The sequence below is a fragment of the Homo sapiens genome, chromosome 20 (genome assembly GCF_000001405.40).
Source record: "Homo sapiens chromosome 20, GRCh38.p14 Primary Assembly".
NCBI lineage: Eukaryota > Metazoa > Chordata > Mammalia > Primates > Hominidae > Homo > Homo sapiens.
This window is the reverse complement of record NC_000020.11, coordinates 38251869-38277712: the sequence shown is the minus strand read 5'-3', so window position 1 is coordinate 38277712 and position 25844 is coordinate 38251869. Positions and strand designations below refer to the sequence as shown.

Sequence of the window (25844 nt, the reverse complement as noted above, 5' to 3'; positions counted from 1 at the left end):
GGTCATATTTGTCAGATTTCTCCACGGTAAAGTTACTCTTTCTCCTCTTTCCCATACTGTAACTTTTGGAAGGAAGTCACTATGTGCAGTCCACACTTTAGGAGTGGAAGTTATTTATTTATGCTGTGTCTTCTTGGGGGTGAAGTATCTACATAAACTATTTGGAATTCTTCTGCACAGGAAATTTGCCTAATCTCTCACACTTACAGCCATGTGCTGCATAATAACACTTCGGTCAACAACGATGGTGGTCCCGTAAGATTATAATGGAGCTGAGAAATTCCCATTGCCTAGACCTTCCGGTAGGACAAGATGTGGAGGTGATAGGTAGTGGTACTGATGATCATGATCCAGTGTAGGCCTAGGCTAATATGTGTGTTTGCATTTTTTTTTTTTTTGACATGGAGTTTTGCTCTTGTCGCCCAGGCTGGAGTGCAGTGGTACAATCTCGGCTCACTGCAACCTTCGCCTCCTGGGTTCAAGCGACTCTCCTGCCTCAGCCTCCCAAGCAGCTGGGATTACAGGCCTGTGCCACCACACCTGGCTAATTTTTGTATTTTTAGTAGAGATGGAGTTTCCCCATGTTGGCCAGGCTGGTCTTGAACTCCTGACCTCAGGTAATCCACCAGCCTTGGCCTCCCAAAGTGCTGGGATTACAGGTGTGAGCCACCGCACCCGGCCTGTGTTTGCAGTTTAGTTATTTTTATTTTTTGTTTTAATTTTTAGCAACAAGGTGTCACTCTGTGGCCCAGGCTGGAAGGCAGTGGAGGGATCCTAGCTCACTGCAGTCTTGACTTCCTGGGTTGAAGCCATCCTCCTATATCAGCCTCCAGATTAGCTGAGACTACAGGCATGCATCACCATGCCCAGCTAATTTTTCTTTTAATAGATAGTCTTGCTATGTTACCCAGGCTGGTCTTGAACTCCTGGCCTCAAACTATCCTCCTGCCCTCAAACTATCCTCCTGCCTCTGCCTCCCAAAGTGCTGGGATTATAGGCACCAGCCACTGCATCTGGCCTTCCATTTTAGTTTTTAACAAAAATGTTTAAAAATTAAAACAAATTTAAAAATAGAAAAAAGCTTATGGAATAAAGATATAAAGAAAGAAAATATTTTTTGTACACTGGTTTAATGTGTTGGTGTTTTAAGTTGCTATTACAAAAGAGTCAAAAGTTTTAAAAATTAAAAAGTTTAGAAAGTAAAAAAATTTACGGCTAAGTTTAATTTATTATTAAAGAAAGAAAAATATTTTTAGGGCCTGGCACGGTGGCTCACGCCTGTAATCCCAACACTCTGGGAGGCCGAGGCGAGTGGATCATCTGAGGTCATGAGTTCAAGACAAGCCTGGCCAACATGGTGACACCTCACCTCTACTAAAAATACAAAAATTAGTCAGGCATGGTGGCGGGCATTTGTAATTCCAGCTACTCGGGAGGCTGAGGCAGGAGAATCTCTTGAACCCAGGAGACGGAGGTTGCAGTGAGCCGAGGTTGTGCCACTGCACACCAACCTGGGTGACAAGAGCGAAACTCTGTCTCAAAAAAAAAAAGAAAAAGAAAAATATTTGTATAAATTCCATGTAATCTAAGTGTACAATGTTTATAAAGTCTACAGTAGGGTACAGTAATGTCCTAGGCCTTCACATTCACTCACGACTCACTCACTGACTCACCCAGAGCAACTTCCTGTTTTGCAAGCTTCATTCATGGTAAGTGTATGTTAATGGTTCCTTTTGTATATTTAGATACACAAATACTTACCATTATGTTACAATTGCCTGCAGTATTCAGTACAATAACACAGTGTACAGGTTTGTAGCCTAGGAGCACTAGGCTATACCATATAGCCTAGATGTGTAGCTGGCTATACCACCTAGGTTTGTGTAAGTACACTGACGTTCACACAATGACGAAACTGCCTAACAGTGCATTTATCAGAACATATCCCTGTAACAATGCATTTATCAGAAAGCATCCCTGTCAATAAGGGACAAGTGACTGTTTATTTATGCACTCATTTATTTATATCAGTGTATGCTTTATTTTCTTGTTCAAGTTGTTCCATCCAGCTTTGGTCATTAGAAGCTCTTTCAGTTGTTTTCTGTGTCCCTTTCACATCCTTCCATCATTGTGGATTTCTTTGTTTTTTTAAGGCATTTTCTTATGATGCTCCAGGCTCATCTTGTACATTGTACATTTTCTACCCCAGTCCTTGCTTGAATCACCCATTTCTCTCTCTCTCTCTCTCTCTCTCTCTCTCTTTCTCTCTCTAAGACAGAATCTTGCTCTGTTGCCCAGGCTGGAGTGCAGTGGTGTGATCTCAGCTCACTGCAACCTCTGCCTCCCAGACTCAAGCCATCCTCCCACGTCATCTTCCTGAGTAGCTGGGACTACAGGCACATGCCACCACGCCCAACTGATTTTTGTATTTTTTGTAGAGACAGAGTTTCGCCATGTTGATCAGGCTGGCCTGAACTCCTGGGCTCAAGCAATCCACCTGCCTCAGACTCCCGATGTGTTGGGATTACAGGCATAAGCCACCATGTCCAGCCTGAATCAGCCATTTCTCCAGGGATCCCTGTTTTCTTTTACTGGAGAATGGAATTAGACACCAAAACCTGGATGTTAAGTGTGCTTGTTGCTACTGCAATGTCAGTGCTTCTAAGTGTTCTCAGCTGATAGAACAAGAAAATATATGTATATATGAACTTCTTTATATACACATACCTATAAACATTTCTGTATGCAACTATCTATCAACTTACCTATCTGCATTGGGAAGCTACTGTCTCCAAGTCAAATCCATTGCCACATGGATCATTCTAGTCCCTTGCTTGTTGGTAATCTCTCACTCCAACAGTGAGAAACCTCATCGTTCTTCTCTTGAGAATCAAATTGTCTGGACTTTGGCTAGTGGGAGCCCCTTTAAGTTGGCTCCTTTAGACTTGGCCTCATCATTCATTGAGTGTTTCCTTGCATTTTGACATGAGATGCTTCAGGTTCACCATTCACTTTCCCTGCCCAATCCTGGAATCAGCCATTTTTCTAAGGACACTAGTTCTGTTTAGTAGGGAATGATGGCATTTAGGAGACAAGATCTGGGCCCTGGGTGTGCTAATTGCTATAGGTATGTTGCTTTTCCCTGGTCTGCTCATATCAATGTCTCCAGTTAACACTCATAGCCATAGCCACAGATCCTTCCTCCACTCCATATTTTTGACTTCCTTTTCCCATAGTGAGAACGCTGAGTCCCAAAACATCAGCACATTTACTCATTTCTTCCATCATACAACACAGAGATAGTAGTTTTAGAATTATAACACTAAATACCTAGACTCCTGTGGTTACACTTACTTAAATTATTTTCTTTGTGTGGCTATATTATTATTTGACATTTAGTTAAGCTCATCTCTTTACTCTTTGTTTATAAGTTTACAGTTTACATTTTTATCTTTTTATTTAATTTTATTTTTGAGAATGTAAAATATTTGCATGGTTAAAAAGTCAAAAATCCTGTACAAATATATTCAGAGGAATCTCACTCCCATCTCTTTCTTCTCCATTGATATTCCCACTAACTTCTTATGAGTAACCATTTGCAATAAGTTTCCGATTTATCCTTCCTGGGTTTCTTTTGCATAATTATTTAAATATGTATGTAAATAAATAAATGTTTTCTTTTTTATTTTCTTAAAAGTTTGCATAGTATAGGTAGTCCTTTATTTTGCTTTTACCTTATTTTGTTGTTTAACAATATATGCTGGAAATCACTCCCTGTAGGTTTACAGAGATCTTCCTTCTTGCCTTCATGGCTGCATAACATTCTCTCATGTGGTACCATAGTTTATTCATCCAGTTTTCTACAGATGGGCATTTGTGTATTTTCAACATTTTGTATTATAAATAATTCCTCAATAAATAACCTTGCATACACATTTTTCATATTTGTGGAATTATATCTTTAGGATAAATCCTAGAAGTAAATATCCTGGATCAAAGAGTAAATGCATATCCTGTTTTGTTCTATATTACAAATTCCTTCCTAGAAGTTTTATTGCCAACAGGCATTATTGACAATTTATAAGAGTAGCTATTTGCTCAAAGCCTCACCAGCAGGTATTGTCAAGCTTTTGAAATTTTGCCAATGTGATAGATGAAAAATGGCATTTCAGTGCAGTTTTGATTTACTTAAAAAATTCTCATATGTGCCAGGCCCATTGTACATATGTTTCCCGAGGACATGTGTTGGGTCATTTCAAACAATACCAATATACTGGATCTTAGGGCTGACCTAATCCTATGGATGTTTGGTGGCTGTGGCTCTCCACCATGCCTTTGGGGCCAGCAGGGTCTCCACAGAGGGTCCCAGCTTCTCAATACCCTCCTCTGGTTCCTGAAGGCTACTGACCCTGCCCTGAGTCCCCCACCAGTCGAGAAACTGCTTCCTCCACACAAAGAAGACTCTGAGTGAGGAGGATGACTTGGCTTCTGAAAAATGCTGAAGTCTTGACCTCCTCCACAATTCTGAGGGCCAGCTGGGGCCGAGGAATGATGGAGCCAGGACCTCAGGGTAGGAAGGACTAGTATGAACTGCTGCTTGAGGAAGCTGGATTTGGAGACACAGGGCAGGCTGTCTCCCCAGGATGAGTGGTCTAGCCTCTGATGACCTCTTGGCTTCAAAACTCACTAACTCTCTCCTCCTCTGGCTGCCTGAATAACCTCCCTAAAGCTTAGAGATGACCAGGGATTACAAACTTCTTCTGGCTCTCCAGGCTCTGACCCTCTTTCCCAATGGGACTTCCTCCATTACCTAATGCGCTCTATATAAATCTATCCAGCCATCCAGATACCCAGCCATCCATCCATATTAGTTATCTATTGATGCGTAACATAACAAATTATTTCATAACTCAGCATCTGAGACAACAATAAACATTTATTGTTTCACACAGTTTCTGTAGATCAGGTGTTTGGAAGCAGCCTCACTGGGTGGTTGTAACTCAGGGTCTCTCATGAGGTTGCAGTCAAGCTGTCAGCTTGGGCTGCAATCATCTAAGGCTAGACTGGGCTGGAGAAGCTGCTTCCAAGGTGACTCACTCACATGGCTGGCAAGTTGGTGCCGGCCATTGGCAAGAAGAAGCCTCAGTTCCTCGCCACCTGGGTGTTTCCACAGGGCTGTTTGAGTATCCTAACAAAATGGCAGCTGGCTTTCCCCATAGCAAGCAATCCAAGAAACAGCCAGGCAGAAGCCACAGTGTCTTTTGTGACCTAGTTTCTGAAATCACAAGCTATTACTTCTTCTACATTTGGCTGTCTACAGGGGAGTCTCTAAGTTCAGCCCACACTGAAGGGGGCTCCAGAGTGTTAAGAAATTTGGGGACATATTTTAAAATCATCACACCATCTATCCACTTAGCCAACAAAGATGTATTAGGCACCTGCTGTGTGCCTGGCCCTGTGAGTAGCTCACAGTCCAGAACCTTGAGGAGTATAACAAGTAGGTAGGGGTGCAAATTCAAATGTCCACAGGGCCCAAGGAGTAGCATGAATGAGTAAACTGAGCCAGGTGGGGACTCTGGTGAGCTGGATAGCATGCGCCTAAAGGCAGAGGATGCTGCCCAGCTCCGGAGTGTCTGTGAAGCCTCCCAATTTTTAGATGTTGAGAATTAATTCCATTTTCACTTTTTTTTTTAACCTTCTCTTTGCCTGATTTGGCCTATCCACTGACAGTTTGCAAGCTCTGATGCAGCCACACCAAATTTCTCAATGTTCCCCCAAACATTGATTCATTCAACAAACATTTACATGCACTGGGCCCCTTTCATGCATTACAGAAATAACTTGCACACACTGTTTCTTTGGCTTGGAATGCCTTCTTATTTTTCTCCCCATGATGAACTTCTATTCCTCCTTCAAAACCCAGGTGTAAATGTCCCTTTCTCTGGGAAACCTCATCTGACCCAATCTCTAGGGGGTGTTATTGGTTCCCTCCTCTAGGTTCCTACCATATTTGTGTCTGTAGTTCCATCAATACACCCCTGCCTCACTCACCAGAAGGTGGGCTCCTGGGGGTTGAATAAAAAGACAGGTGCCACTGAGCAGGGTGGAGAAGATTGTGCGGGGCCACCTAGCAGGGCTTCCCAGGGGAGGTGGTCCTGGAAGGAGGAGCAGGACTTGCAGAACAGGGGTCCCCTGGCGGGGGAAAGAGGAGAGCAAAACCAGAGGCAGGAAAGCATGGGTGGGGCCTGAAGCTAGGAGGGTCCCGGCTCCTTCCTCCGTAGAGCTCACCCAGCCAGCAAGGTTCTTGGCTGCCTCCCCAGATGATGAGGGGCGAGGCCTGCAGGCCCAGAGGAGCCCAAAGTAATCAGGGGAAGGGAGACTGCTGGAACAAGAAACCCAAGTCCTGAATGAGTCATCGATGGAGTCTGTCCTACAATAACAAGAAAGGGCTGGACTGGAAGGGAAAGAGAAACTCCAGAGATGAAGGACTTCTCCAGAGGCTCAGGGATGTGCTGGGGGGAGCTACACAGCCCTCTATGTCCCCTGACTTGGAGTATCCAGCCCCAAGTCCCCCCAGAGCCCTGGCTTTTGGCTTCCACCACCCTTGGAGCCCAACTCTTCTCCAGCACCCCATGTCAGCCCCCTTGCTGGTGGGTCTCCCTGTAGCCCCTGCCCCCTCCCACGGTCTCCTCCACCCAGGCACTGGAGGAACCTTTTGAAGGGAGTCAGCCGGCGGGGGGGTGGTCAAGAAAAACCTAATCTGATAATATTACTCCCTCCTGAATTCCTTCCCATGGGTTTTCATGGCTCTAAGGAGAAAATTCAAACTCTCTGGTCTACGGAGCCTTGCCCATGCCTCCCACCTCCTCTTGTGTCCCTGTCCCCATCACTCTCTGGCTTTTTTCTGCCTCCAACATGCTCTCCTGCCACAGGCCTTTTGCATGTGGTGTTCCCTCTGACTTTAATGCTTTTCTCTGACTTTTTCTTCTTCTGTTTTTTTGAGACGGAGTCTTGCTCTGTCACCAGGCTGGAGTGCTGCAGCGCAATCTCGGCTCACTGCAACCTCCGACTCCCTGGTTCAAGCGATTCTCCTGCCTCAGCTTCCCAAGTAGCCGGGATTACAGGCATGCGCCACCACACCCAGCTAATTTTTGTATTTTTAGTAGAGACGGGGTTTCATCATGTTGGCCAGGATGGTCTCGATCTCCTGACCTCGTGATTTGCCTGCCTCAGCCTCCCAAAGAGCTGGGATTACAGGTGTGACCCACCGAGCCCAGCCTTCCCTGACTTCTTATGTTTTCTCTTTGAATCCCAGCTTAAGCCCTCAGGGCCACCCTCCTGGACCTCCAGTGGGTTCCATTGATTTGTGCTCTTTTTTCCCCTTTAAGACCTTACCACCATTTGTATAAGGCACTCATTATTAAGATCTGACTCTCTTCTAGACTGTGAGCTACATGAAGGCAGGGACTGTCTGTCATGTTCACCCTGATATGGCCAGCATCCAGCACGCTGTCTCTGGCACAGAGTGGACACTCAATAAATGCATCTTATGACCTCCATCCCTAGTGAGACGTGACAAATGCGTGTGTTGTTGCCTCACAGCAGACGGGAAACAGGCAAAGCAGAGGTTATGGGTTCCATTTTACAGGTAGAAAACTGAGGTTCTGAGAATTCAGGCAAACCCCCAAGATGCCTCACGGAGTTAGTGGGTAGAGAGGGGCCTGAACTCAAGGTCTCCGCTTATACAGCACAGGCTGCTCCATCAAGAGGCCGATTTAAGGACAGATGAAGTATAACAGATTGTTGTCCTGGCTGGACAGTGTGACAACGTGAGTCACTCCTCCCTGGGTGAAGCTCCCTGGCATAAATCAGGACAGTTAAACAAGGTAAGTTTTCAGTCTTTTTTAGGAGCTCTAAGAGGTTTTATTTCCATAGGTTATTTCCATCTCATCCTTCCCACCGAGATTGTGGGCATCCTAGGAAAGGGTGAGACAGTGTTTGAGGTCCCTAACCTACCCACAGGTCACTCCCCAAAGCCCATCCTAGGACCTCATCAGGAAACATTTAAACATCAGATTTTCCCCTGTGAAAAGAGGAGGTCATTGAGAGAAGAAGCTGTCTTTTTTGTCTTTTTCCTTCTCCGTGTTTCTGAAGTGGATAATGATCACCAAAGGTTTTGTTGTTTACCTTGTGTTCCCATCCCCCTGTTTGTTTTGGAGAGCTTCTCCTCTCTCTATGCAGCCCTGGTAGAGCCATCATCATGTGCTCCCACCCAGGGGTGGGCATAGAATCTATTCCAGCCAATCAGAATATCTTCATTACCTTGGTCACAGTGATTGGTTCAAGAATTGACATGTGACCCAAGCAAAGCCAATCAGGGTCTTCCCTGAGATTACTATTTTGATGATGTCTTTATACTATTATTGCCAGCTTGAGACCTTATAGGCCTGGAGGCCAACTTCTCTAGTCATAGGGAAGAAGCTATTAGAATGATGACAGAGCTCCGGCACCACTTCTCCATTATAAGGCGCTTAAAGTCCCTTTTTACTTTGAGATTGAGTTGAGTTTCTGTCATTTGCAATCAAGAGTCCTTGGCCAGGCACGGTGGCTCATGCCTGTCATCCCAGCACTTTGAGAGACCAAGGTGAGTGGATCACCTGAGGTCAGGAGTTTGAGACCAGCCTGGCCAACATGGTGAAACCCCGTCTCTACTAAAAATACAAAAATTAGCTGGGCGTGGTCGTGGGCGCCTATAATCACAGCTACTTGGGAGGCTGAGGCAGGAGAATCACTTGAACCTGGGAGGTGGAGGTTGCAGTGAGCCGAGACTGCACCATTGCACTCTAGCCTGGGCAACAAGAGCAAAAATTCTGTCTCAAAAATAAAAAAAGAGTACTTGATAGGGAAGGCCAATTTCGTGCTGAGGGAGGTGCCCTTCAGCCTCCCTGTTCTGGGTCACTCTTTGCCCCTAGCACTCACAATAACCTCTGTGCCACCCCTATTCTCCCCATCAGAGAAGATGAGGACCACTCCTTTCCAGCCCAGTCTTCTGCAGCTCAGTGCTGAGGTCACCTGTGTCCTCTGAGAAACAGAGGCCAAAGACAGAGTTAAGAATGCCAAGAGATGCATGGGGGTAATGCCTGCAAAGGATAATGGGGAGAGGGAGCAGGAGAAAAAAGGGGAGCCTTTGGATGTTGACGCAGGTCTGACTAGGAAAGGAGAGGGGGAATGAAGAAGGATTGGGTAGCAAGAGCTTCAGACTGTGGCGCAGCTCTGAGAAGGTCTTGGCCAGCCCAACAGGGGACTCTGGCACAAAGATTATTCATAGAGAAATCCTATATTAGGCAGAAATAACGAAACCTCATTCACAGTGTGTTTAGCTGCAGGCTGCCCAGGAAGCAGGTGGCCTCAGCTCAAAAGCTGAAGCAGATCCTGAAGACATCTGCAGCTCACAGACTCTGTCTTGAAGGGAGATCTGAGTGGTCCACTCCAAGGCTGATACGCTCCTTTAGTGCCTACACATTATCATAAGGACCTATGGCAAAATGCAAACCCAAGCCTTCTGTCTCTGGAGGCTTCTGCCTCTGGAGCCCATTTCCTCATACATTGTGAACTTCAGATGGTGAATAAGCATCGTCTTCATGTCAACATGTATTGATTGGTAGCAGCTGCCTGCACTTTCTATTGAGGAGGACTCTGGGGCAGTTTCTAGGTTCAGCAGAAAGTTCCATGATGGATTAGTGACATCTGTCATGGGTATGGGAGGGATGAGTATATGCACACCTGCCAAGTATTTAGCATCCTCATACTAGGAGCAAATAAATATGTATTAAATGATTGAATGAATGCATTCTGAATCCCATGACATCCTGCTTAAATTAGGCAACTCCCTTCCTCCAAGTAAGCATGTCCCCTGGTGAGGTGTCCTGGCACTTAGGCCTGGAAATCTCAAAATCACAGGCAGAGCTTCCATTTGCTGAGAACCTGTTATATGCCAAGCACTGTGTTAAACCCTTTCAATGCATTATTTCACTGGATTCTTACAAGAGCCTCATGAGGAGAGATTATATAATCACCATTTTATGCTGAGGAAACTGTGGCCCCATGCAGAGAGCTGCACAGCGAACCAGTAACAGAGCCCATTTCCACAGCCCTTCCCCATTTTCTCACTCCACCATATATGTAAGACTAGTGATGGATTTGGTTATTTCTCAAAATTTAGTGTAGCAATTGGCACATGATTCAGTTATTCATTTGCCAGAGAGAGAGAGGAAGGAAGTGAATGCTTGAAGTCCTTGGAAGATCCACTGGAAAGTCCCAGAGAGATGAACCAAGTCCAGTCCAACAGTTAAGCCTGTGTATTTGGAGGGTGAATCCACAACTCCCGGCCCCTAACATAACACTATTTTATTCTATTTTTATTTTTCATTTTAATTTTTGTGGGTACATAGTAGGTGTATATATTTATGGGGCACTTCAGATGTTTTGACACAGGCATGCAATGTATAATAATCACATAATGGAGAATGGAGTATCCATCCCCTCAAGCATTTGTCTTTTGTGTTACAAACAATCCAATTATACCGTTAGTTATTTTGAAGTGCACAGTTACATTATTATTTGCTATAGTTATCCTGTTGTGCTACCAAATACTAGGTCTTATTCATTCTTACTATGTTTTTGTACCTATTAACCAACCCCCCCCACCCCCACCCCCCACCACTACCCTTCTGAGCCTCTGATAAACATCCTTCCACTCTCTGTCTCCATTCGTTGAATTGTTTTGATTTTTAGATCTCACAAATAAGTGTAGCATGTGATGTTTGTCTTTCTGTGTCTGGCTTATTTCCCTTTGCATACTGACCTCCAGTTCCATCTATGTTGTTGCAGATAACAACATCTCATTCTTTTTTATGGCTGAGCAGTATTCCATTGTGTGTAAGTACCACATTTTCTTTATCCACTCATCTGTTGATGGACACTTAGGCTGCTTCCAAACTTTGGCTATTGTGAAGAGTGTTGCAACAAACATGGGAGTGCAGATGATCTCTTCCATATACTGACTTCCTTTCTTTTGGGTATAGATCTAGTAGTGGGATTGCTGGGTCATATGGTAGATCTATATTTAGTTTTTTGAGGAACCTCCCAACTGTTCTCCATAGTGGTTGTACTAATTCACATTCCCACCAACAGCGTAAAAGGGTTCCTTTTTCTCCACATCCTCGCTGGCATTTGTTATTGCCTGTCTTTTGGATAAAAGCCATGCTCACTGGGGTGGGATGATACCTCATTGTAGTTTTGATTTGCATTTCTCTGATGATCAATGATGTTGAGCAATTTTCATATACCTGTTTGCCATTTGTATGCCATCTTCTTTTGAGAAACGTCTATTCAAATCTTTTTGCATGTTTTAAAATCAAATTATTAGATTTTGTTCTATATAGTTGTCTTAGCTTCTTATATATTCTGGTTGTTAATCCCTCATCAGATGGATAGTTTGCAAATATTTTCTCCCATTCTGTGGGTTGTCTTTTCACTTTGTTGATTGTTTGCTTTGCTGTGCAAGAGCTTTTTAACTTGATGTGATCTCATTTGTCCATTTTTGCTTTGGTTGCCTGTGCTTGTTGGGTATTACTCAAGAAATTTTGCCCAGACCGAAGTCCTGGAGAGTTCCCCCAATGTTTTATTGCTGTGGTTTCATAGTTTAAAGTCTTAGATTCAAGTCTTTAATTCATTTAAATTTGATTTTTGTATATGGCAAAAGATAGGGGTCTAGTTTCATTCTTCTGCATATGGATATCCAGTTTTCCCATCACCATTTATTGGACTATCTTTTCCCCTGTGTATGTTCTTGGCACCTTTGTCAAAAATGAGTTCACTGTAGGTGTGCAGATTTGTTTCTGGGTTCTCTATTCTGTTCCATTGTTCTATGTATTTGTTTTTATGTCAGTAACATGCTGTTTTGGTTACTATAGCTCTGTAGTATAATTTGAAGTCAGGTAATGTGATTACTCCAGTTTGGTTCTTTTTGTTTAGGATAGTTTTGACTATTCTGGGTCTTTTGTGGTTCCACATAAATTTTAGGATTGTTTTTTCTATTTCCGTGAAGAATGTCAATGATATTTTGATAGGGATTGCACTGAATCTGTATATTGCTTTGGGAGTATCTTTCCATTATTTGGTGTCCTCTTCAATTTCTTTCACTTTATATTTTATAGTTTTCATTATAGAGATCTTGTATTTCTTTGGTTAAATTAGTTCTTAGATATTTAATTTTATTTTTAGCTATTTTAAATGGGATTATTTTTAAATTTCTTTTTCAGATTGTTCACTGTTGGCATATAGAAATGCTACTGATTTTCATATGTTGATTTTGTATCCTGCAATCTTATTGAATTTGTTTATCAGTTCTAATAGTTTTGTGGTGGAGTCTTTAGGTTTTCCCAAATATAAGATTATATCATCGACAAACAAGGATAATTTGACTTCTTCCTTTCCAATTTGGATGCGCTGTATTTCTTTCTGTTGCCTGATTGCTCTAGCTAGGACTTCCAGTACTACGTTGAATAACAGTGGCGAAAGTGGGCATCCTTGTTGTGTTCCAGATCTTAGAGGAAAGGCTTTCAGTTTTTTCCCATTCCATATGATACTAGCTGTGGGTCTGTTATATATGGCTTTTATTATGTTGAGGTATGTTCCTTCTATACCTGGTTTTTTGAGGGTTTTTAATCGTGAGTGGAAGTTGACTTTTATCAAATGCATTTTCAATATCGATTGAAATGACCATATGGTTTTTGTCCTTCATTCTGTTGATGTGATGTATGTGATGTGATGTATCACAACAGAATGGATTGATTTGCATATGTTGAACTATCCTTGCATCCCAGAGATAAATCCCACCTAGTCATGATGAATGATCTTTTTAATGTATTGTTGAATTCAGTTTGCTAGTATTTTGTTAAGAAGTTTTGCATCCATATTCATCAGAGATATTGGCCTGTAGTTTTCTTTTTTAGATGTGTCTTTGTCTGGTTTTGGTATTGGAGTAATACTGGCCTCATAGAATGAGTTTGGAAGTATTCCCTCCTCCCTATTTTTTGGAATAACAGCACTATTTTATATGACGCATGTTAATTCTATGTACCAGACACAGTGCAAAGCACTTTACATTCATTAACTTATTTATTCTTCCCCATGACGAATCTTACCCATCTTTTACAAAAGACGATTCTGAAGCTCAGAAAAGTGAACCTCCCTGAGGTCACACACAGTATGACTACAAACCATAGAGGTGTGTGTGTGTATGTGTGTGTGCACATTGTTGGTTGCATATGGAACTGCTATACCACATCAGTAGAGAGGAGTTTTGGAAGAACATGCCTGTGAACAAGGATATAAAGTATGTTGAGAGGCCCAATGGATAGACCGTAATTGCACCTTTTTGTTGTTGTGGTGGTGGTGGTGGTTGTTGTTGTTTTGAGACAGAGTCTCACTCTGTCACCCAGGCTGGAGTGTAGTGGTGTGATCTCTGCTCACTGCAACCTCCACCTCCCAGGTTCAAGTGATTCTCCTGCCTCAACCTCCCAGTAGCCGGGATTACAGGTGTGCGCCACCATGCCTGGTTATTTTTTTGCATTTTTAGTAGAGACAAGGTTTTGCCATGTTGCCCCGGCTGGTCTCAAACTCCTGAGCTCAGGCAATCTGCCCACCTCGGCCTCCCAAAGTGCTGGGATTACAGGCATGAGCCACTGTGCCCAGGCTGTAATTGCACTTGTTTATGGACAATTTCATATTCATTTCTTCTCCTTCTTATGCAATTTAATTTCCTTTTGGGTGACCAACTATTCCTGATATGTGTAGGTGCAGTCTTAGTGAGGCCCTGGGCACATGACGCAATTAGAATTTCTCTATAAAGGTTTTATTTTGTTTGTTTGTTTTTTAGAGATGGGGTCTCACTCTGTCTCCCAGGTTGGAGTGCAATGGTGCAATCATAGCTCACTGCAGCCTTGAACTCCTGGGCTCAAGTGATCCTCCCACCTTGGCCTCCTAAGTAGCTGGGACTACAGGAGCATGCCACCATGCCTGGCTCTTTTAAGGTTCTGAGTCCATCAGTGAGGAACACAAGGGCAGAGAGAATGGTTAGGATTTATGCAGGTAGCATAGCAAAGTGGTTAATAACATAACTTACGGAATTGGATAGCTGTGTCCAATTCTGAAATCCACAGTTTACTAGCTATCTGACATTGGGCAGGCTACATACCCTCTCTGTGCCTTAGTTTTTCATTTGTAAAGTGAGGACAATAATAGAATCTACTTCATAACTGTTATATACTTAGAAAACTACCTGACACATATAAAGTTCTACTTTGGTGTGTTTGTTTGTCTTAATGTAATTCCATGTGTTCAAACGTTTCCAACTCTTTCCGATAACGAGACCCCCCAGAGCATCCTACTTACTCCAGTGCTTTCCAGAGGATAGGCCCCAGCCTTCGCATTGATTCTCTGACTGCCAATCCATTCTTTTCTGCTTAATTAACTCAGAATCCGCTTCTGTTGCCTGCAACCCCAGAACGCTGGCTGTCATGTCAATTCTGTCTCATGGCAACCTGGGACTCTAAAACCTTCAAGCTGTGACCCCACAACTCTCAGTGGAATTCTGTACTGAACATCAAGTCTGTTCTCTCCTAAATTCACATCTGGAGTCATGATACTAAAACCATCCAGACCATCTCCTGTAGAGAGAGTTTACTTGATTGCTGGGCTGTGGAAATATTGCAGGGGATTATTAGTCCCAAATTAGTGATAAGCAAGTGAAGGTCGGGGATGTGAAGGAACTTATCAAAAGTTGGGATAGGATGGCTCCTAATTCAGGTTTTCTCTGCTAAAAGACTGATTAACCTATGTGGGGTGGGAGATGGGCTGTGAATAAGGCTTGGGTCTGAACTCTAACCCTTACAACTACACTCGTCTTTTTCAGTTCTTCACTTACTCCCCAGCTCCTTTAAGCTTAATATTGCCTCAGAGCCTTTGCATATGCGGTTCTCTCTGCTTAGAACTTGGTTCCTCTGCGTCTCCCCATCTCCACTCTTCTAATTCCTCCCCTTTCAGATCTAGGCTTTCAGACCCAGGCTTCCTAGACCACCAGCTATAAGTTGATCCCTCTACTGTTCCCAATGTCAACATTTGTTTGTTTCCTTCTTAGCAGTTACCACAGTTATTATTTTTTTATTTTTCCTGTTTATCTGCTCCTTGCCTGTCTCCCCCACTAGACTGTACATTACTTGAGGGCCGGGACTCTCAAGTAATGTATAGTCTAGTGGGGGAGACAGGCTGACTCAGTGCACAGTGTTTGATAAATAAATGGACAAAACCCTGAGCCATCTAACCAGGAATAACTTTGGTCACTGTTTTAGTCTGGGCTGCTATAACAACATACCTTAGACTGAGGGGCTTATACACAACAGAAATTCTCTTCTCACAGTTCTGGAGGCTGGGAAGCCCTAGATCAAGGCACAAGCAAGTTGGGTGTTTGGTAAGAGCCTTCTTTCTGGACCTTATGTTTCTGGGCCTTTCTGGTTCATAGACAGCCCCTTCTCGCTGTGTCCTTCCATGGTGGAAGGGGCAAGGCAGCTAGCTCTCTGGGGCCTCTTGGGCACTAAGCTGGGCATGGTGGCTCACGCCTGTAATCCCAGCACTTTAGGAGGGTGAGGTGGGCAGATCACCTGAGGTCAGGAGTTCGAGACCAGCCTGGCCAACATGGCGAAATGCAGTCTCTACTAAAAATACAAAAATTGGCCAGGTGTGGTGGCGGGTGCCTAAAATCCCAGCTGCTCGGGAGGCTGAGGCAGGAAAATTGCTTGAACCTGGGAGGTAGAGGTTGCAGTGAGCTGAGATCATGCCACTGCACTCCAGCTTGGGTGGGCAACAGAGTGAGACTCCATCTCAAATATATATGTGTGTGCGTGTGTGTGTATATATATGTATATATGTGTGTATATATATGTGTGTGTATATATATGTGTGTGTATATATGCCTATACATATTAGTGCCTATATATGTATATATATAGGTGTATATATGTATATATATAGGTGTATATATGTATATATATAGGTATATATATGTAGGTGTATATATATATATAGAGAGAGGCACTAATCCCATTCGTGAGGGCTCTGTCCTCTCATGACCCAATCACTTTCCAAAGGCCCCACCTCCTAATGCCATCATACTGAGGATTAGGTCTGGACATACGAATTTGGGAGGGGACACACACATATAGACCCTAGCGGTCATCTAGTTTCTTAGTCTCACTCCAAAGCTGAGGCTCAGTAGGAAATACCGACTTGGCCAAGGTCATTATCTGAGAGTCAAGAACAGAACTCGCACACAGCCATCATCACCTCAAAGCCTTGAATTAGGCCGTCATGATGGGGCATAATGTGGGAGAATTCAAGGGCGCTGGGACAGATGCTTACTCCTCATCACCAAATCTAAGCAGCAGGCACTATCATCATCATCATCATCATCATCATCATCATCATCATCCTCCTCCCACCCCATTTTACAGATGAAGAAATCGAAGCTTAAGAGAGTCTGTGACTCCCTGGGAAGTGTAGGAGGAGGAGACTCGAACTTGGGCCTGCCAGCGAGGTCCGCGGGCGCTTAACCCGGCTGCTGCGGCTCGAGGCCTCGCTCTGCGGGTCTGTACAATGGGGCTGTCCGGGCCGGGTGCGCCGTGGGAAGAGCGAGGAGCGGGGAGGAAAACTTGGCGGGGCGGACTCGGGTTCCTCGGGTTCCAGCTGGCTGCTGAGGGGGTGGACGGAGGGAAGGGGGGGCGGTGGGGGCGGGGCGCGCGGGCTGGGCACAAAGGGCTCAGGCACAAAGGGGCCGCTGTCCCGCCGCGCCCCGCCCCGCCCCGCCTCTGCTGCCGCCCCCCGTCTGGTGGCCCGACCCGCGCCGCCCGCGGCTCCCTTATGTCTCTCGCCGTCTCCAGCCTCAGTCCCTCTCTGTCTCTCTCTCAGTCTCTCTCCCTGTCCTCCCCGGCCGCTCCTCCGAGATGACGCCGGGGTCGGTGCCCCGGGCCTGCCCTATCCCCTGGCTCCAGGGCTAGGCGGGACCGAGGGCTGCCCCAGACAGACGGACCCGCGGACCCACAGACCCCGCGCCCAGGAGAGGAGCCGCGCCGCCCGCCGCTGGCAGCCCGTCACCATGGTAACGCGCCAAGGCCTGGACCACCTCGCTCTGCCCCCTTTCAGTGGGCACAGCCCTCCCCATTCCCTGCAGAACAGCCCCGGGTGGCCCTGGCCTTTTACACTGAGACGACCCTCAGTGCCTTGGCAGGGTTGTGCTTACCTGCTTCCACCCCAGCAGGGGTTCAAGGGCAGGAGCCCATCTCTGGCCGCGTCCTCTCCTGGCTTCTCCATGTGTGTGTATGGATGGAGTAAGATTGTACTTGTAAACTTTAATATTCCCCAACCCCTAGACCTGAGCCTGAATCTCAGCCCTGAGGCTGAGGGCTGAAACGGGGTGGTTTTGCATGTTTGTTTTGGAACTGACTGTGATATGCACATTGTCCCGGCAGGGAGTTTGGATGGGGAAGAGTGGTGGTGGGGGTTAAAGTCCCCTCCCAGGCCAGCCAGGCAGTGCAGGGCGAGGAGGGTTAAGGGTCCAGGGTGAAAAGGAGAGAACTGCTTACCAAAACTTGGGATGCTTTTGCTGTTTTAGACTCAGCTATGGAAAGTCAGATATACACATTGAAACCCAGGGTGCTTCCATGGGAATTGGCTGGGGAGAGGGAAGAGGAAGGGACTTTTGGAGCTGGAACCTTGAAAAAAGTTGAGACATTCTGGGAGAATGTGTGTGTGTGTGTGTGTGTGTGTGTGTGTGTGGTGGTGGTGGTGGCAGGGATGCGTTTGTGCCAGTATCTGGCAACAGGGAATGAAAGAAAAGTCTGTTTTTGGAGGATTTCAGCCCAGCTCCAGACAGATACAAGAGCCCCAGGCAGATTCACAGGGGCTGTAAGGATTTTGAAAAAAGCTGTGAAGACAGGCCAAGGCTTTAACCCTGTGACTGTGACCAACCATGTTGAATTTGTGTGGGTTTTCACTCACAGCAAATGCATCTCCACAAGCAGAAGAATTCCATATAGAGGTGTTCATACTCTCTCTCTCTCTCTCTCACACACACACACACACACACGCAGGCACTCACACACACGTACACATGCACACACACGTACACATGCACACACACATACACATGCACGCACAGAGCACACCTGAATGCTCCCACTGACTCACACAGCTGAACACATGTTCACACCCTCTCATACACCCATGCCTTCTGCACCTGCTCCCCCATACTGCTAAACTATGGGCATACATTGGCATACACACCACAGACATATTGCAAAACCGGGCACCTACATCCATGCACTGCGGGGACAGGTGTACACACACATGGCTCTTGGAGCTGTTTGAAAATACTCTCATAAGCCAGTGGTTATTCACCTCTCCCTACAGGCAAGGCCCTGTGCTAGGTGATTTACATCCAGGAGTCAGTAACTCATACCAACTCTAAGATTAGACCTGCGGCTATCTCCAACAGATGGGGACCTCAGGCTCTGGGAACTTAAGTAGCTGCCCAAGGTCACCCCACCCAGAAAGTGCAAGTTAGGACAGTCTGAATTCTGAGCCTGCACTCGGCGGTCATGGTCACTCCAGGGCCACAGCGTGCACCTGGTGTTTGCCAAGCCTCTCCTGCTTTCACACCTAACCTAGTCATTAGAAACCCCTCATTGAACCCCAGATCCTCAGATCAAGGGTCAGGCACTGGTCTGCCCCCTGTCAAAGGGTGAGCAACTCTTTCCAGATTGGGAACAATGTGCAGATTTCCTTCCCTTGCCTGTTTTTTAAAGAATAAAGGTTGTTGCCAGCCTACCTCCCTGGCCTCACTTCTGTGCTCCAGCCACTCCAGCCTTGCTTGCGAGCCTCTTATGGTTCACGCTCCCTGCTGCCCCAGGGCCTTTGCACATGCTGTTCCTGCTTGGAGGAATACCTTCACCTAATGAATTCTTATTTACCCGGTAAATCTTCACCCAAATGTCACCTCTTCAGGAAAGCCTTCCCTGATTTCCCTGACTCTTACTCTAGCATGTCATGTATCTTTCCTTTATGATAACCCATCATAGCTGTAATTTTTGTGGGGCATTTGATTAACAGCTGTCTAGTGTTTGGGGGCACCCCCATGTCAGAGAATCTTATGGCAAAGGGGCTTAGGGTTGATCCTGTCCCATGGTTCCCAAATGTTAGTATCACTGAAACAACTTTTACACATCCACTTACTGGATAAAATATATAAGAAAATGATAAAATCTACTACTTATTATTTGCTCAATATTTTTCTTTAAATCAACTTACTTTGTACACTGAAAAATATATTTAAATAGAAAATTTTATATCACAACCATGAAAAAATCAGTATCCATTGTCATAAATAGAAAGTAACTAAGCCGGGCGCAGTGGCTCACGCCTGTAATCTCAGCACTTTGGGAGGCCGAGGCTGGCGGATCACCAGAGGTCAGGAGTTCAAGACCTGCCTGGCCAACATGGTGAAACCCCGTCTCTACTGAAAACAGAAAAAACTAGCCGGGCATGGTGGCAGGTGCCTGTAATCCCAGCTACTCGGGAGGCTGAGGCAGGAGAATCACTTGAACCCCGGAGGCGGAGGTTGCAGTGAGCCGAGATCGCACCATTGCACTCCAGCCTGGAGGACAAGAGCGAGACTTTGTCTCAAAAAAAAAAAAAAAAGTAACTATAAAAATATGTACTCAATGAAGGCAAATCTGTGTTAGTAAATTCTGGCTGGATGAGGTTGGTGGTGAACAATTTCAAGCCCGAGGACTGTTTTCTTTTGTTAAACAGAGTGATGAGTAAGTGCCTGAGAGGTCTTCGAGATAGACTGGCTCCAGACTGAGGTATTGTCCTTGGTGTCATCGTGAGGAATGGAAGAGAACTGGAGTAACTTTCTCGCTGTGATTTCACATCAATCTATGTTCTCCCAAAATTGTTTTGTGGGCCACCTGTGAGAAAAACTGGTCACGTTCAGGTTTTTTTTTTTTTTTTTTTTTTAGATGGAGTCTCGCTCTATTGCCCAGGCTGTAGTGCAGTGGGACTGTCTTGGCTCACTGCAATCTCTGCCTCCCAGGTTTAAGCAATTCTCATGCCTCAGCCTCCTGCGTAGCTGGGACTATAGGTGTGTGACACTAGGCCCAGCTAATTTTTGCATTTTTAGTAGAGATGGGGTTTTACCATGTTGGCCAGTCTGGTCTCAAACTCCTGACCTCAAGTGATCCTCCCACCTCAACCTCCCAAAGTGCTCGGTTTACAGGCATGAGCCACCACCCTAGCCAAGTTCAGTTTAATCCATTCAACATTGCCCACATACCTGCTGCATGGCAGTACCCCACCCCAGTTCCCTACTGTGTGCCAGGCCCTCTATAAGGACGTGGTTCCTGCTTTGGGGGCTGGCAGTCCATGGAGAAGGCAGGTTCATCCACAGATAATTCTAGGCTGTGTCTGATGGGTGGTGGGGGTCCATCCTTCTGCCTGGAAGCACATGTGTCCTGAAAAGCAAAGAGAAGAGAAGCAAGTCTGGAAGGGCTCTGAAGGGTGGGCAGGAGGTTGCTCAGTCCAGGGAGTGGGGCAGTGGAAGCAGAGACACAGATGTGTGTCCAGGCAGCACTTTCCAAGATGTGGCATCCACCAAAGGTTCCAGGAGGGGAGATTTTAGATGGCACTTAGATGAACAATTTTTAGTTTACAGCTTTTCATCTTAATGAGTATTAGGAAGGAATTTAAACAGCACAAACACATAATAATAAATATAAATAATTTTTTGTTTTGAGACAGGGTCTCGCTCCATCACCTGGGCTGGATGGAGTACAGTGGTATGATCATAGCTCACTGCAGCCTCTATCTCCCAGGCTCAAGCAATCCTCCCACCTCAGCCTCCCAAGCAGCTAGGACTACAGGTGCGTGCTACCATGCTCAGCTAACTTTTTATTTTTTGTAGAGATAGGGCCTCCCTCTGTTGCCTAGGCTGGTCTTGAACTCCTGGGCTCAAGCGATTCTCCTGCCTTGGCCTCCCAAAAGTGCTGGGATTATAGGCATGAGTCGCCACACCCAGCCAAAAAATAGATTTAAGTTGAAAAAGAATTGACAAAAAGTCAAACGTTAAGTAAATAATAATTAATAAAAAAGAGTAAGCCAATAACAAATTAGAATATGTGAACATGGCAGAAAGAACCTCATGAAAGGGGCCCATGATGATTGGAAAGCCTTGGGCTACAGCATAAAGTATGTTTAGAAGAAGTAGGGAAGGTAAGCTGGGAGCTGACTGACGGGCCACAGCACCAGACCAGTGAGTTGCTAAGGCAATAGGGAGCCACCCGAGGTTGTTGAGCAGTGGAGGGTCACAGTTGGATCTCTGTGTTAGGAAGCCCACTATGATGACTAAGAGGAGCCTGGCGTGGTAGCAGGGAGCCCGGGGAAAGAGACAGGACAGCTGGTGGTTATGTGCCCAGGGTCATACCCCAGTGCTACCATTTAGTAGCAGTAGAGCCTTGAGCTCAGTTTCTTAACTTGTAAAATGGGAATAAAAATACCCAGCCCATAGAATTATTGAGATAAAATAGTTAATGAAAAATGCTTAGCAGGGGCCTAACACACAAGACAGTAGGAAGCAGCTCTGGTTACAATTGTGATCATGATGTGGTTTGGGTGGGAGATGGTGAGCCCAAGGCAGAGGAAAAGGGGAGAGGGAGAGAAAGGAACAAATACAAAACTAAGGCTCAGTGAGGGGCAGGGGGTCGAGGTCATGCAGATGATACAGACAGAGCTGGACTATAACGTGGGTCTTCTGACAGCCACTTGCTTCTCGGCTCACTGCATCAGGGCTGTTTTCCCAGTTTCTGAAAGTTTTTTTATACGAGCCAATACTCACTCATACCTCCACCCACACAAAAATAAAAAGGACTTAAAGCAGAAGTTTTAGTTGGAAGTGAGCAAGAACTTCCTGGCAGCCAGAGCCACAGAATGCTGGTTCTAGAATCTCCAGCCTGGAGAAGTTCAGGACGAGTGTCCCAGGTCATTGAGACTGGAAATTACAACCTGACACCCGCTGGGCCGTATCTGGCTCACAGATGTGTTTGGCTTGGCCAACTTTTTCAAAATTGGGAGGTTTTACTGAAAAATCAGTAGATCAGGTGGTGCTGGGCCAAAGCAACACTCAGCTGATGCTGATGAGAGGGGGTGTGTGCCCCAAGCCCCTCTATTCCCCATTGCTTCCCTGGTGCTGAGGCTGACTATCTCCAAAGGGTGGAAGTGAGTGCTTTCTCACACTCAGCCAGTGTCTGTCTTCATGTTACCTGTCAGGCCCCTGGAAGCACTTATTTATACCTGTGGCTGTTGGTTTAGACTGACTCTCCCTAGGCCTGAGGCAGGAAGATGGAAGAGACAGATTTTTTTTTTTTTTGAGACAGATCTCACTCTGTCACCCAGGCTGGGGTGCAGTGGCCCAATCTCTGCTCACTGCAGCTTCTGCCTCCCAGTTTCAAGCAATTCTCCTGCCTCGGCCTTCTGAGTAGCTGTGATTTTCAGCACCCGCCACCACACCCGGCTAGTTTTTGTATTTTTAGTAGAGACAGGGTTGCACTATGTTGGCCAGGCTGGTCTCGAACTCCTGACATCAGGTGATCTGCCTGCCTCAGCCTCCCAAAGTACTGGGATTACAGGCATGAGCCACCGTGCCCAGCCAAGACAGATCTTTTTAAACCTTCTCACCAACTGAGGATTAACTGATCCCATTCAGAAACCACATCCCAGCTCCAAACCTTCCTGAAATAGATTATACTTTTTTTTTTTTTTGGAGTTGGGGACTCGCTCTGCCCAGGCTGGAGTACAGTGGTGTGATCATAGTTTACTGCAGTCTCCACCTCCTGGGCTTAAGCGATCCTTCTGTCTCAGTGCCTAAAGTAACTGGGACTACCATGAGCTACCATGCCTGGCTAAGTTTTCCTATTTTTTATAGAGACAGGCTGTCACTATGTTGGCCAGGCTAGTCTCGAACTTCTGGCCCCAAGAGATCCTCCTGTCTCAGCCTCCCAAAGTGCTGGGATTATAGGCATGAGCCACTGCACCCGGCCCCTGATTATACTTTGAATTCTAGAATGCCCCTACTGGAAGGGCCCTTGGAGATAGATATGCTTAGTGCCTCCCTTTTATAGGTGGGGAAACTGAGGCCAGGATCACCCAGAGAGTCAGGGGCATAATCTCACCCTCCCTAGGCATTTTTTTTTTCCCCAAGGAACAGGGCAGAGCTTGAAGGTAGCCCTAGGACTCTGTCCATTTTGGCTTTTCTCAGTCCTCTCTTCCCAAGTAAGGAGGCGGCAGATGCTAAGTGATACTAAAATCTTTGCCCGTTGCAGTAAATGGATAAATCTGGACCTTTAAGAAAAGCTCAGTCCAGCTGGGTGCAGTGGCTCATGACTGTAATCCCAGCACTTTGGGAGGCCAAGGTGGGTGGATCACCTGAGGTCAGGAGTTTTAGACCAGCCTGGCCAACATGATGAAACCCTGTCTCTACTAAAAATACAAAAAATTAGCTGGGCGTGTTGGCAGGTGCCCGTAATCCCAGCTACCTGGGAGGCTGAGGCAGGAGAATCGCTTGAACCCAGGAGGCAGAGGTTGCAGTGAGTCGAGATGGCACCATTGCACTCCAGCCTGGGCAACAAGAGCAAAACTCTTTCTTGAAAAGAAAAGAAAAGAAAAGCTTAATCCACATCTCAGAAAGTCCAGCTAACAACATCTGGTGAGACCATTTACAAAGGGAACCAGCCTTAAAAACACATACTCTCACACTTTTATTTTTTCCCCTCCTAATTATAAAAGCTATACAAGCTGGTTACGGAATGTTTGGAAAATCCGGGAAACTATGAAGAAAATTAAAAGGCTGCCTTACGAGGCCCCTGCCCCGCACAGCCCTCAGGGGTAACTGCAGTTAACACTTTACTTAATGTCCACTTGGAGTTTTTTCTAGGCTTACATGGTTTTATTCATACTATAGATCATACGGTATGACACTGTTTTCTTTAAAAAAAATTCCAATAGTCAGGGGTGGGAGAGTTGGCTGGCAAGGGGCCTCTTTCTGGAGTGGTGGAGGTCTTTTGTCTCTTGATCTGGGTAAGTGGTTACAGGGTTCATACATAGGTAAAAAGGCATCATCCTATGCCTTTTATATTTGTTTATTTTACTTGATAAAAATGGTATTTAAGATTATAATAATAGCAGCTCATTGCAAAGACATTGAAATGGAAGTATACGCACGCCCCTACTCCCCTGCCCAGGTTATAACCGCTGTGAGCAAGTAGTCCCTCCTAACCTGCAAGCTTCCCTGGGTCAGTCCAGAAGGTCGTGAGCATGGTATAGGAGCCAGCAGTGCGGGCCTGGTTCTGCCTGTCCCCTTGATGAGCTCCTTCTCTGACCTTGGGCTGCAGGGGAGGGGGCTGTGGCTCGTCTCACCTTCTTCCTTTTCAGCCTCACACCCGCTGGCTCCTGCCTGGGAACAGCCTGGCTCCTGCCGGGCTGCGGGCTGTGTTCACTGGGAAGGAATGGAAACACATCTATTAAGTTTCATGGAAATCATGCTGAGGGGCCCACGTCTGGTGTTTGGGTTCCTGTGGTCCCAGGCTGGGCTGCCGGGTGGATTGGGAATGAGAGTGGCTAGCGTTCCTTCCTGCAGCCGCCTGGGCACCCCCACACCCACCACAGTGTGCTTCCTCCAATACTTGGATGGCTTATGAGCCCCTGGGGTTCAGGCCTGTAGTGGGTAATGTGCTGGCCAAGAGCTCGGAGCTCTGTTAACTCGGAACATACTTCCTTTTTACTGGCTGCCCCTTAAATGGTAACAGTGTGTGGCAAACCAAGCCAATTTGTGAAAGCTAAGGGTGTCCCGGTCTCTGAGCCTTGCTCTGTGAGAGGTAAACAGTTTCTTCAGGCTCTACTAGAAACTGGGAAGGACAGGCAGCTGGGATCGTCAGTCCCCACAGCTGGTGGTCCCCAGGCAGAGGGGGCGGCAGGAAACAGGGGAAGATCTGGGCAGACTTGGCAGGCCCCAATCTGGATTGGATCCTGGCTCTGTCTTTCTCTTCTGTGCGGTCTTGGGCAAGATCAGCCTCGGTTTCTTGACTTGCAAAACGGGTCATTCCTACTTGGCTCCTGGCATCGTTGTGTGGGCTAAGCAAGAGAATGCAAGTAGGGGACCTGGGCACAGTAGCCGCCTGGAGACTGTTGTTATCATTGGGGTGACAGTAGTGGACACAGGGAGGGACCAGGAGATGGGGGATGCTTCACACAGAGGCTGGGACTTAAGCTTGGGCTGACAGGATGAGTGAAAATAAGTAAGAATGAATAGCAATAACAGCAGCGGCCATGCCTTTGACTTTCCCCAAGACCCTGTACATCCATTAATTAGCTCCTTGTGTGTCTAGAACAATCATCTGAGTGAGGTAGGATAGGAATCAGAATCCCATCTATGTGCAGAAGGGGAAACTGAGGCACATCAGGGAAAGATAGTTTAACTCACTGTTTCCCTGAGGTTAGGATGCAGACCACAGTGATGACATAGACAACTGGCAAGGGGCCTCTCTCTGGAGTATGGAGCTCTTTTGTCTCTTGATCTGGGTAAGTGGTTACAGGGGCTCATACATAGGTTAAAAAGGCATCAACCTGTGCCCTTTAAATTTGTTTATTTTACTTGACGAAAATGATACTTAAGATTATAA

At 45.9% G+C, this 25844-nt stretch overlaps 1 protein-coding gene and 2 long non-coding RNA genes across 19 annotated transcripts in view, besides 2 other annotated features; 1 reads left to right on the top strand and 2 right to left on the bottom strand.

Moving 5' to 3' along the window:
- LOC149684 (uncharacterized) overlaps nt 1-17538 on the bottom strand; it is a 28773-nt gene extending 11235 nt beyond the window's left edge. The window contains exon 1 of the long non-coding RNA NR_104170.1: nt 17357-17538. This is a non-coding gene — a long non-coding RNA (uncharacterized LOC149684). The remainder of the gene's footprint in view (nt 1-17356) is intronic.
- Nucleotides 16721-17220: an enhancer, noted in NCBI's record as "H3K4me1 hESC enhancer chr20:36888895-36889394 (GRCh37/hg19 assembly coordinates)". NCBI's record gives its function as "activates a minimal SCP1, AML or CMV promoter by ChIP-STARR-seq in naive H9 embryonic stem cells {active_cell/tissue: H9 hESC(naive)}" and the evidence as "EXISTENCE:reporter gene assay evidence [ECO:0000049][PMID:30033119]".
- Nucleotides 16978-25844, top strand: part of KIAA1755 — a 50233-nt gene continuing 41366 nt past the window's right edge. For all 17 annotated transcript variants that reach the window (NR_145960.2, XM_024452013.2, NM_001348708.2 and 14 more), the window contains exon 1: nt 16978-17215. Coding sequence is in view for 16 of the 17 variants with exons in the window: in XM_024452013.2 (XP_024307781.1) it covers nt 17213-17215 (3 nt within the window). In the remaining variant the exon portion in view is untranslated. The remainder of the gene's footprint in view (nt 17216-25844) is intronic.
- Nucleotides 19852-25750, bottom strand: LOC124904900 (uncharacterized). Its single transcript, XR_007067581.1, has 3 exons — nt 24443-25750; nt 20450-20627; nt 19852-20084 (listed from the first exon to the last, which is right to left on the bottom strand). It is a non-coding gene; the product is annotated as an uncharacterized LOC124904900 (long non-coding RNA).
- Nucleotides 24152-24744: an enhancer, noted in NCBI's record as "H3K27ac-H3K4me1 hESC enhancer chr20:36881371-36881963 (GRCh37/hg19 assembly coordinates)". NCBI's record gives its function as "activates a minimal SCP1, AML or CMV promoter by ChIP-STARR-seq in primed H9 embryonic stem cells {active_cell/tissue: H9 hESC(primed)}" and the evidence as "EXISTENCE:reporter gene assay evidence [ECO:0000049][PMID:30033119]".